At 34.1% G+C, this 13,403-nt stretch overlaps 1 protein-coding gene across 34 annotated transcripts in view; it reads right to left on the bottom strand.

The window, feature by feature from the left end:
• DLG2 (discs large MAGUK scaffold protein 2) overlaps positions 1-13,403 on the bottom strand; it is a 2,173,362-nt gene that overhangs the window by 1,153,790 nt on the left and 1,006,169 nt on the right. The window lies entirely within an intron of this gene.

Consider the following 13,403-nt stretch of genomic DNA (forward strand, 5'->3'; position numbering starts at 1 on the left):
AAACTTAAATACTGATAAGTATATGCCAAGCACTGTTTCAAGTGCTATGTAAATGTTTATTCCCATAATAATCTTATGAGGCACTTACTATTATCTGCTCCACTTTTTAAATAAGTAAATTCAAATAGAAAGAGGGTCACACATCTAGTAAGTGGCACAGGGCCATAGATTTAGTAAGTGGCAGAACCTGAATTGAAACAGAGGCAGTTTGGCTCCAGAATCTCTGTTCTTGATCCCTACGCTGCCTCTTAATGCTACGTGATGTTACTACATATAGTAAGACAACACCTACCATTTGGTTTCTGGCACAAAGTGTCTCTGGGAGGCAATGCATTGGAGTGGTTTAGAATGCTGACTCAAGAGCAAACTGCTTGGCTTCAATCCTGCATTCTGATCTCGAGAGCTAAGTGTTCATGGGTAAGTTAGTTAACCTCTCTGTGCTTCGGTTTTCTTATCTATATATTGGGTGCAATAATAGACCCTATCTCAGTGGCTTTGGAGGACTAAATGAGTTAATACCTATAAAGTACTAAAAACATTACTTGAGAAGTAGTAATAATAGTCAATAGTTGTTAAGTGTTATTGTTTGTTAAAAAGAGAGATACTATCTTGTCTCAGAGTTACAAAAGAAGCACCGTAATTCTCGCAGTTTTTGGTGAGAAGACATAGTAGTTGGAAAAATATAAACTGTGCTATCTGATGAACTCCAGTTAAGGTCAACCCAAGCCAATGGAAACCTTGGGAAAGGCACTTAATTACACTAGGCCTCAGTTTCTCCAACTGCCGATGATTAACACACCTCTGCCATAGATGGGATGAAAATTATGAGTTAATATGTATAAAAATTGGAAAATGAAACCTTTGATTACTGATAATTTGGTAATCAAATAGGATTATCAGATTCCCTGCCTTCCCTTTTTTATGATTGGATATACTAGTAGAGGATGTTGAGTGAATTAGCCAAACTCCAGCATCTTTTGCCAACATAAAATGACACATGGACTGGCAGCATTTAATGGTTAGGCCCAAAGCAATCTCAGTATTTAAGAATATTTTAAATTATCTATAAGAATATAATTTGGAAACAATCTAAATGTCCAGTAATAGGGGGTATGATAATTAAATATATGTTGGGGAATAGGTTATTCTATGAAATCCTTTATGCTTTTTTGCCTTTAACCCAACAATTCCACATTTATAAATTTATCTTATGGCATACTACTACTTGTATGCTAAGATACATATGTAGGGATAATAATTGTAGCAATATTAATAATAGCAAACAGCTGGAAGTAATCCAATATTTATCAGTGGGGCACTGATGAAATACATAAAATGAGATATGTGGATGATACTGAAGGAAAAAGCTTTTCATGATGCCACCTCTGAATATTGCCAGTAATATTTGTTTTATTCCTTATATTTTTGTATTTTATAACTTTTCTATAATAAACATATTAATATCATAAAATTAATACTAATTATTATTCTGTAGTGAGCATATATTACTTTTGCAACCAGGTAACAAATATTTTTTAAAAATTTTTTGCAAGATTTTTTTTGCCCTTAATACTTCCTATGAGTTCCTTAAATAAAGAAAAATTTTTTAAAAAACATGACAACTTCATCAATATAGTCATATCACCAGGTCATAAAAGGTTCCAGATAGTGACCTAAACCAGAATTATCTTGGAAGAGAAGTCAGGTGGATTGGTAGGTCCTATCCACTGAAAGACACAAAATCTACTCCACTACTGATGAATAAAGGGAACAAGGGGTAAGCCAATGGTGGAAGCCTGAACCACCAGGTCAATGGCAAGCCCCTCCCCTGGCCTGGCCTCCAGGACCTGTTGACAGTGTCCTTGCCCTCCTCACTTTTCCTTCCCTGGCCTTGCCAATCCTGACTTTATAGCTTCAGCCTATTCATCTTTTCTGGGAGAGGTGACCCAACCCAAGGGTAACAGCTTGAGGGTGTAGCACAGGCCATTCATTCCCAGACCAGCATCCCAGTCATACATAGCCACAGATTACTGTTCCACCTTTTCTCCCTCTGGAATTCATACACGCTGTTTCCTCTGCCTGAAATATTCTCCTCCCTCTCCTGCCAAGTTTCTTCACCTGGATCTTTCTTCTTTATTTATCAACTCAGATGCCTCTTACTCTAGAAAGTCTACCTTAACACATTAGTCTGGGATATGTGTACCACTGTCTGTTAGATGACATACACACACACACACACACACACACACACACACACACACACACTATATGTTTCCCAATGGTTTATGCCTCTAACTGAGCTAAACACTCCCTATTCAAATCTACTATTTACTTACCGGCTTCTCAAATAATACTGTCAAATTTTTGAGGCCAAGGACCATGTGTTATTAATAGTTTTGTCCTTAGTACCAATCAAAGTTTTGGCATATAGTTTGAGGTCAGCAAACATTTATTTTATTGTATGAATAAATAAATGATGAGTGTTAAAGGCAACAGACAAAGGTCCATATGCCAGTTTCTACATTGACAGTAGAGAAAACGCCATTTACTAAGAAGAAAAGGAAGTGCTGAGTAGTGACTGTGTGACCAGTGTTGTCAACTATTGAACAATATGGTTAACAGTATATACAGATGAACAGAGACAGTTCATGAGGTCCCTGGAAGCCTGATGGGGTCAGATGCTTGAAGAAGCTTAAAATTCTATCATTATTAGTCTCCTGCCTGAGACTCTTGACTTTACCACTCTAATTGTCACCCAAGTGCCTCTATGCTACTATTTTTATCAGTGGCCCAAGTGGTGATGCCAGGAAACCAGTAATTAAAATCATTTTTTTAAATAGCTGGTAAGTCAGCTATACACATAACTCCACCTCTTAAGAAACTTAAATGAGGAGTGACTACAAAGATTTTTCTGTGCCATTCTTGCCCAAAGAAAGATACTTTCACCATTAGTAGACTCCAAAGAGAAATCAAAGACTATACAATACCTTTATGCCAAAGATGTTCACTGCAATGTTGTTTATGCTAGCAAAATATCTGAAGCATCTAAACATACAGCAATGGGAAGAGTTGTAAAAATAATGATGCAATGGAACCATTATAGTGAGATTTCTTTTCAAAAAGATACATCATTTTTTACAACTATTTTGAAGTATAATTGACTAACAACAACCTATTTAAAGTGTACAATTTAGAAGTTTTGAGCCATGCCAACATCTATGAAACCATTAGTTTAATCAAGATAATGAACATATCCATTGCTCTCAAAAGTTTCCTTTGTACTCTTTCCCTTTACAACTTTTCTCATCCTCAAGCAAGCTTTCTGTCACTACAGATTGAGTTTTCTAGAATTTCATATAGAGGGAAGTATAGGGTATGTACTCTTTTTTAGCCTGGCTTTTTTCATTTGATATACCTATTTTGAGATTGATTTCTATGTTGCATGTGTCAATAGTTTATTTCTTTCTGTTGCTGAATAGTATTTCAATGTATGGAAGTGTCACAATTTTTTTTTTCAGTAGAACCTGTTGATATATATTTGGGTATTTCCACCATTTTTCTATTACAAATAAAATACTATGAACATTTAGGGAGAAGTCGTCATTGACTTATGTAGACATACGCATTCATTTCTCTTCAGTAAATACCTAGGAGTGGAATGACTAAGTTGTTTAGTAGATAACGTTCATGATGGCTAGCAATGTGGAAAGTGCTTATGGTTAACACTAAGTATTATATAAATGTAAGATTTAAACATAGCCATATGAAAATGAAAATAAGAAAATACATTAAAGCTAGAGTGGTAGTTTAATTTGTGTGGTAAGACTAAAGGTAATGTTTTTTCTTTTCTTAGTTCATAAATATTTTATAATATGGTTATATTATTTTTAACTTTTTTAAATTAAAAAGAAGTAATAATATTTGTTAAGCAACTACTATGTATATACACATACACACATTCCTTTTTGTCTTTACAGCTTCATAAGATAATTTTTATTGGTTCAATTTTCACAGATGACTCAATCTGGACTCAGAATGATTACGTCATTTGTCCAATACACCAGAGCTAGTAAGTGGTGTGGCTGTGATTTGAGTCCAGGTCCACCTCACAAAAAAGATTTTGTTCATTCCAATATGTAAATTCTTAATCATGGATAGCAGCTCATATGTCTTTATAAAATGGGGTACACAGTTGGAACCTCACGAATTTCTAAATGCAAATATAAATGATCAAGCTTCTGTTGAACAACTCTGTCCTGCATTGCTCCGTGAGGCAGTTGGGCTGATCGAGAACACTGCAAGACGCTGGGGACTGGCTTGATCTAATTTGGAATCCTCCTAGCAACACTATCAGGACAACGGCTCTCTCTTGAGGAACTAAGACTTCACAGAATGTTCAGGAAAACCAAATCAGGAAGGAAATATCGGTATTTTATATTAAATAATACCATGAGATAGTTTAAAAACACCAGATAACAGTTTATCATAACTATATTAGGAAAAGAGTCTCTGTGATCTAAGTCATCAAGGAGACACTCCATTAATGGCAAGTTCCCACAAAAATTTCAGACTAGGTTAGCAGATACAGCCAGTTCCCTTCAGAGGAGAGAATTGCTGACTCTTCTATGCCCTACCTACTCAGCTTGGACAAGGTATTGGAACCTCTCTGAGATTTGGTTTCTTCAACTGTAAGGTGAAGAAAATAGTATCTATTAAAATAATTTATTTTGCTGGTTAATTGACAAAACACAGGTAACAGTTATCATGGTGCCCTGCACATAGTGACCACTCACTAATTATCAACTACTCTTGTTATTGCCATAGTTGTTTTGTTGCTTTTACTAAATACCACAGATACAATGCCTAATTGTCAAGACAAAAGGATGAGATGAGAAGGATACAAATTAAAAGTTTTTTATCCTTCTTTAGAATGCTTCAATCTCTTTCAGAACCTACTACTCTAAAACTTGCTATCTCAAGTCATTAAACCTTACAATGGAGATTCCTTGCCTAAGAGCAGCTAATGATCACACTTAGAGAACTCACATCAGAAAGTACATTCTTAGGTTGAAGTGACATCATATGGTCACCAAGTTGGAGGCAGTCACTGATAATACTTTTATAGATCCTCTCTTTCATATTTGTAAAGTGGGACCTTGCCTATGGATCTTATGTTATTTCTGTAATCAGATGGAAAAAGAGATATGAACACATTTGACCAATAGTAAACAACTGTGAATATGTAACAACAGTTTCAGTGAAGTAAGATAACTAGCACTGTGTATTATTCAATCATTTATTAATTTTTTCAACAAATATCTTTTGATTGCATAGTATGTGCCTTGAACCCTGCCAGGTGATAGGAAAATAAATGGACAGTAAGTCCAGTAAGTAGAAGCAAACTATAAACCAATAAGTGCTGTGTTGATATAAAATAATAGAGGCTGGGAAGATTGGGAAAATGAGTATCTTTAGGGAGAGGTGGAGAATGTCAGTGGCAGCTTTATGAAAGAGGTAACGTCTGAGCTGACACTGCAGCATAAGCCAACAGAAGAAACCGTGTGGGCAAAAGAAGACATGTAAAAGCCTGACACACTTGTGGAAGGGGCAATTAAAGTCAAGGTCAGACAGACAAGGAGAAGCTAGACCATGACTTGCCTATAGGCAAATATTATAGTGTCTGAATTTTAACTAATACCAACAGAGAGAAATAGGTTTTACATAATAGAGAAAGCAGATTAAATCTGCATTTAGAACAATCTTTCTGTCAGTAAAGTGAACTGTAGTCAGGGAGACCAGTTGTCTTGGAGTCAGACAAGTAGGTGCTAAATAGTGAATGACAAATATATATACATTTTTTACCTGTTTGTTGATCTTTAAAATATTTCCCTGTCTATTTAACAAAGCTGTTATGATAAACAAAGTCATCTTGAGATTATGGGAGTGGAAGAGTTTTATAAGATGAAGAATGCTATATAACACAAGATGTGTCATGATTACCGTTATTTTGTCTTGCCATTTTGACCATCTGGACAATCAATTCAGCTATAGCTACTAAAGCAGTTACATCAATTGTGCTATAATCTACATCTGCTGTTACAGGACTTTCAAAGTAGCTATATGAGCCCTGCCATGGTTCTTCATTTTTCATGAATTAATCCAGTAAGAAAGAAATAAACATAACTGATAGAACTCTTAAGTGAAAGCCACACTTAATTCCTCAGCCAAGCATTCAAGCAGGCACCCAATTCATAAGGATGATACAAATTCAATGGAATATTACCCCCTTGATTTATTCTGTCACTACAAATGGTTGTGTATGACAGTTATGTGAAAATCATGAAAAGTATTATGTGTCATAATTGTAATTCTGGGGTAGAGGAACCAATGAAAAATAAATGTAGCTTTATTTTTATTGGATGAGTCTAATAGCCACATTAAACATGACATAAATTTGATTTGCAAAAGTAACATTGATCAATACCTAACACAAGCATCGCACACATAGTATACCCTCAATAAATACAGACATGGACGCAAACAGAGTTACCAGAACCATCTAACACTAACTACTAATTACTGCTCTTGGTCACCTGAAATGTTAAAGGTATGGAAATGTTTGCTGGAAAAGGTTTTTATTTCTCCAGGTAGCTAATAATTCTTCTTAATTTTAGGTACACAATACAGCCTTTCATTAAGGCATTATTTGTTAACCAAATTTGTCATTCAGAATAGTAAGTTAACAATGATTGGACACAGTCCTTAGCTATATAAGTGTTGTATCCAGGCTGGCTGTCATTACAGCATATACTCTTCTAGTATCATTTTTTTTAGGGGTCATAAAGGGACAGAGTTGCCCTCTGTTTCCATCTAAAATATTGCTATCTATCAAAATACCACAAAATAGAGGCTGGTGACCTGATTAAAAAGGGCCCTATGATATTTTGTCTCCAAATTATCTGAAATTATTAAATTTTTAAAATCCCTACTCAGAGAAAATTTCAGGACAAAAACGGTAAAAAAAAAAAAAAAAAAAAAACTTCATTCCAGTACCCCATGTAATATTTCCATTCAGTCATTTATCATTCAACAATATCCATTCAACATATGTCAGACTTCAATTCTGGGTATAAATGGTAAAGAAAAATATATATAGTGACGAGGTTCATGTTCTTATGGAATTTACCATTCAGTGATCAAGACAGACATTAGTAAGCAAAGGAATATCTTATTACAAATGACAAAAAAGTACTATGAAAAGTAAAAACAGGATTGATCTATTTCAGACTGGAATGGCAAAGGGGGGTCAGAGAAGGCTAATCTAAGAAGGTTACATGGGTTGAGATAAGAAGCACAAGAAAGAATCAGCAAGGTAAAAAGGTGGGGCAGTTGTAGGAAGGAAGAGCTTGTGTTTCAGTTTTCAGTTGACAAAATCTGGTCTTTGTAGTTACAGATAACCTAATGGGTTTGAGCATTTACTTTCCAATTTAATAAACTATAAAGTTTGTGGGACTGAATTTTGATATTTGTTTTATGTACAATGAAATATTATTTCAGTAAACAAAGTACTTGAAATGAAATAATTGAATAGGCAGGGGAACTGTCTGAAGTATTGTTAGGATGATGATTTTAAAATAATGATGAGGGTACATTTTAGCACTAATAGTTGCATGACCGTACAGTTTGGTGGCTTTCTATAATTCACAAAGCACTGTCCAGTAGAATAATTTAATTGAAGCCTCTCATAAAATCTCACAGTGATGATGTGATAAAATGAAAAGAGTCCTAAATTTTAAATCAGAAAACCCACAATATAGTTTACTACTACTTGTTGGCTGTACAGTCTTTGGTAAACCACTTAGGCTCAGAATTAGCACCTCATCTAATGAAAAATGAATTGATGATAATAACACCAAAATTGCCTACCCTTGCACTGTCATTATGAAGACAAATGAAATCACTTTTGAGAAGGTGCTTAACAAATCTTAAAATGTAATATAAATTTAAGGTATCTGAAGTTTTATTATTGTTAGTCTCATTTTAAAGTGGACAGATAACATTTCCCTCATTTTTCCAATGGGTAAACTAAAGCACAGGAAAGGTAAATAATTTTTGCAAAGAAGCATTGCTAGAAATGTGAATCAGATATCATCATCCAGTTCTTCCTCCTCTCTTCCCTTTCTTTTTTTTTTTTTAATTATACTTTAAGTTCTGGGGTACAAGTGCAGAATGTGCAGGTTTGTTACATAGGTATACACGTGCCATGGTGGTTTGATGCACCCATCAACCCGTCAACCAGATTAGGTATTTCTCCTAATGCCATTCCTCCCTTAGCCCCCCACCCCTCAACAGGCCCTGGTATGTGATGTTCCCCTCCCTGTGTCCATGTGTTCTTATTGTTCAACTCCAACTTATGAGTGAGGACATGCAGTATTTGGTTTTCTGTTCCTGTGTTAGTTTGCTGAGAATGATGGTTTCCAGCTTCATCCATGTCCCTGCAAAAGACATGAACTCATCCTTTTATATGGCCACATAGTATTCCACGGTGAATATGTACCACATTTTCTTTATCCAGTCTATCACTGATGGGCATTTGGGTTGGTTCCAAGTCTTTGCTATTATAAACAGTGCCAGAATAAACATATGTTTGCATGTGTCTTTATAGTAGATTGATTTATAATCCCTTGAGTACATACCCAGTAATGGGATTGCTGGTTCAAATGGTATTTCTGGTTCTAAATCCTTGAGGAATGGCCACACTGTCTTCCACAATGGTTGAACTAATTTACACGCCCACCAAAAATGTAAACGCACTCCAATTTCTCCACATCCTCTCCAGCATCTGTTGCTTCCCTTTTTTTTATGTTTTCATTCATTCAACAAACATTAGACTATTAGGATGGCCATATAATTCATCATTAACAATGGGCACTTTTGAAAATAAAAGTGAGCACTACTAATGGGTACACTACGAAGAAGGGAGGTAAACACCAGGACTCTTCTGGAAACCTAATTCATATGGTCACCCTAAGTAATATGCACTGGAAATCAAGGAATAAACAAAAGCAGCCTTTGCCCTAAGAGTCTGATTTAAAAAATAGGTAAAAACAGTCAAAGAAAGTAATGCAGTGTTGTAAAGGGTAAAACAGGTATGTGTAGGTAGTTATGGGAATTTGAAAGAAGGGCACTTAAACCAGTCTTGGGGGCTTAAAGAACACTTAAAAAAGGAAGTGATCTGTGCACTGAAACTTAAACGCTGAAGTATCCTGGTAGGTAAATAGTAAAAAGCATCTGAAGCAGCAGAAAGAGTCTTTAAAAAGTGTGTCATATTCAGGGAATTGTAACTATTTGGGGAGGAGCATATAGGTTCATATGAGTAAGTAGAAGGAAAGGAGCTTGGAGAAGTCCAAAGAGGTTGAACCTGGGGTCTTGATGCTTTTACTAAAGGGATTGTACTTAATCCTGGGGGCTAAAGGAGGATTTTGAAGCAGGGAAGCAACATGATCAAAATCTATATTAAAAAGTTCCCACTTCCGTCATTACAGCACACAAGGCCCTCACTCTGGTGAGCCGTCCTGCTATAATACGTCAATGGTTTTAATACATTCTAACCATCATCCTTTTAATGAATCTCAGCCATGTAAGAATATGAGAAAAATAAGCAAGACCAAACCAAATGACACACAAAATCCTATCAACTAAAACCAGAAAAGTGGGCTGTAGCAAAATGAAAGCCAGCATGCCCAGAGGAAAAATAGTTCTTTCAGGTCTGAGATCAGAAAATTTGAGAATCTAAAGTTAAGCAAGACTCTCAAAAGGGACCAAAGTGGCTCAAACTCAGAAGAGTCTTTTGGCTCCAATCAAAAACCAAGTCTAATCTTCTCTGGAAGAAAACGTCTCCATATTGACCCTGAAAATTCCCACTATTTAAGTCCAGCAAAAATATGAGACCACCATCAAGGAGATAGGATGAAACAGACTACTATGAGTGACAAAGTGTAGAAACAACAGATGTAGACTTACAAGGACTTTAGATATTAAGATTATCAGACACATAATTTAAAATAGCCATGAGTAATATTTAAATAAATAATGAAGAAAATATTTAAAAATATCAACAAATCCACTACCCAAGAAGGCGATTGTAAACAGACCTCTTTGACTCATTGATAGATGATGTAGGTACAAATTTAGTAAAGGTATAGAAAATTTGAAAAATGTAAACAATTAATAAACTTACCTAATGAATATAATTATAAACTTGCATCCAATAATTACAGAACACACATTTTTCTTAGGCAAACAAAAAACATTGACAAAATATTCACCACATTCTAGATTAAAATGAATTTCAGAGAATAGTTACCATAAAAAGTTTTCTAGATATTATTAAATCAGAAATTAATAACACAAGAAAGAATTCTTAGGGAAATTTAAAAAAATTTTAAATAACCTGGCTCAAACAAATAAATATTTGTAAATAGGTGGGTTGGAATGTTAATTTAAAATACTGCATATCATATATTATATAATACCAAAGCACCTAAAATATATTGAAATAAATGTATAAATGTATTGTAATTTAAATTGTTAATTAAAAGAAAATGGCAGAAGTCAATGTTACATCCCTCTGAAACATTTATGTTAAAGCAGGTTAAAGCCCCAAAAGTAGAGTTAATAATAATACCAGAATAATAAAATTAAAACAAAAATAGTAAGAATAAAAGAAGAAAGAAAAAAAGAGAAAATGACAACACTAGGGATACAAAGTTGCTTGAACTAGCACACCCCAATCAATATAATCACATTAACACAATAGGGGAGAAAAATCATGATCATCTCAACAAATATAGAAGGAAAAAAGATACTATTCATTATCAACAATAACAACAACAAAAATGAAGAGAACTGATAAAAAAATTCTCGAAAGTTTTTCAAAATTAATGCTTTTTTTAAATGTAAAATATTTAAGGAAGAAATTATAAAATTGTATTGAAAGACATTAAAGATCTAAATAAATGCAAAAATAGTCTATATTTATAAATAGAAAAATTCAGTATCATAAGAAATCAATCTTCCCAAATTAACTTATAGGTTCAAAGAAATTCCAAAAATAACCCCAATAAGAATTTTCACAAGTTTCCAAGTTCATCTAAAATGCACATGAAAGAATAAAACCTAAACAAAGACACACCTGAAGAAAAATAAAATGGAAGAATTTGATCTAGTAGACCCATTTTAATAATAATTTAAATTTTTAGTTAATGTAGTAATTTATTATAAAGAATTTTTAATTAATATAGTATTGATTTGGCACAGAGATAAACAAGATGACCATGAAACAGAATACAGAACATAGAAACAGGCTCACATAGTATAGAAATATGATATAGGACAAAGTGAGCATTGCAGATAAGTAAGGGGAGAAGAAAGAAGTGTTATTCAACACATGTTGCTATGAGAAATATTTAGTTATTTGGAAAATAAGAATACAAAATAATCAACACCAGACTCATTAAATACTTAAATATAAAAATTTTACAGTTTTATATCTTTATGATCTTGGGATAGGAAAATATTGCTTAAATAAGACAGAAAATGTGTCAACTATAAAGAAAGAATAATTTTGATCATATTAAAATGAATAACTTAATCTACAAAGTGGGAGAAGACATCTATGATGAATAGTGGATAGTATCCAGAAGATATAAAGAACTCTTAAAAATCAATAAGAAAAAGATAATACAATATAGGTGTAAGCACACAGCAATAAACCATTATTTTACAGAAGCAGACACATGAATGCTGAATAAAGATATTTTTAAAACCTCAATAGTATTCCTCATTCTGAAAATATAAAGAAAGAACTCAACGATATTTTTGTACTTCATAAGTCTGATAAAATTTTGTGTTGATGATGTGAACAATGCAAACTCTTAAACGCTTCTAGTAGGCAGATGAATCGGCACAACTACTTTAGAAAACAATTTGACATGATCTTGTCAAGTTGAATAGGTGAAAACCATATGACTTAGTAATTTCAATCCTAAGGAAACTTGTGTACTGATACCAATAAAATTGTGCAAAAATAAATGTTGCTGCATTGTTTGCAGTAGCAAAAATTGGACAGAATCAAAGTATCTGTTAGCAAGAGCATGGAAAAATGAATAAATATTATCCCAGAAATATTGCACAGAGTAGAAACGAACAATATACTACTACATGCAACAATGGGGATGACTTTTAAAAGCATTAATAAATGAGAAAAGCAAATTGCAGAAGGTGAAAGCACATAAATAGAATTAGGGAATGGGAAAAGGTACCCTCAAAGGTAACAGCATTATTCTAATTCTTAACTTGGAGGAGGGGCTTATGGTGTTGGTTTTATTATTATACTATATCATTTCCACTCATATATTTTAGTTATTAAATATAACAGAGTAAAAACTATGGAAGTTTCTTTATAAAAAAATTCAATGTAGAAAAATTACTCTGGCTACTGTGAGAAGAATGAACTGGAGTAGAGGAAGTCTGGAAGCTGGGGGTTAATTAGGAGATTATTTTCATGCTGAAGATTATGGTGTTTTTAAAAAGATAAGCACTAGCTGTGAGTATGGAGAAGGAATAGATGGATTTCCTCAATGAGTGGGATCACCATATTATAGATTCATGTTTTGGCCTGAAAAATAAATGAGCCTCCCATGTACGCCTCATTTGTTCACTCGCTAATTGAATAAAATATTTATAGGAAGTCAGAATTAATTTAGGCACATAGAGAAACTTGCTAAGAGGTCACCAATAAGATTTTGGAGAGAAATAAATGTACAAGCTATTTGGAAGAGAACTAAAAGCAGGGGCTGCTGGCTGACTCACTAATTGGTTGGTCAGTTCCTACTAATGGGTATTTGCAATTACCTGGGCAAAGCATCCAAGTGGGCTGCTGGGGATTTTAAGATCAGCATCAGTAGTAACTGTGTCATAGGAATAGCGCAAGGGTAAGAGTGTGTGGCTGTAAGATGCTTGGGGGAAGGGTGGCAGGAGGGATTTATTTGCTCAGAACACCGCCAAGCTGAAAATTGTCAGCACATTGGGCTGGAAAACAATTCTACCTACCCAGGACAAAGCACAGGTAACCTATAAATAGAAAGTTGCTTGTTGAAATTGTACATTAGTAGTACAACATTTTGAAGCTGTTACTGGACTCCTTAAGGGTCAGTAAGTAAGTAAAAAGTTGCGGACCGCACTTTCCCACTTTACACATCAAAGGGGGCATTGTTTGATATAATTTTGACTTAATAGTTTGTCCACAGAGAATGGGCTGCTTTGTATTTAGATTTTGCTACAAAAGCAATCTTTGGGAAACCTAGCATGATTAAGGGAATAGAAAGTGTCTTCCTTTGTGT

The sequence above is a fragment of the Homo sapiens genome, chromosome 11, assembly GCF_000001405.40.
Source record: "Homo sapiens chromosome 11, GRCh38.p14 Primary Assembly".
NCBI lineage: Eukaryota > Metazoa > Chordata > Mammalia > Primates > Hominidae > Homo > Homo sapiens.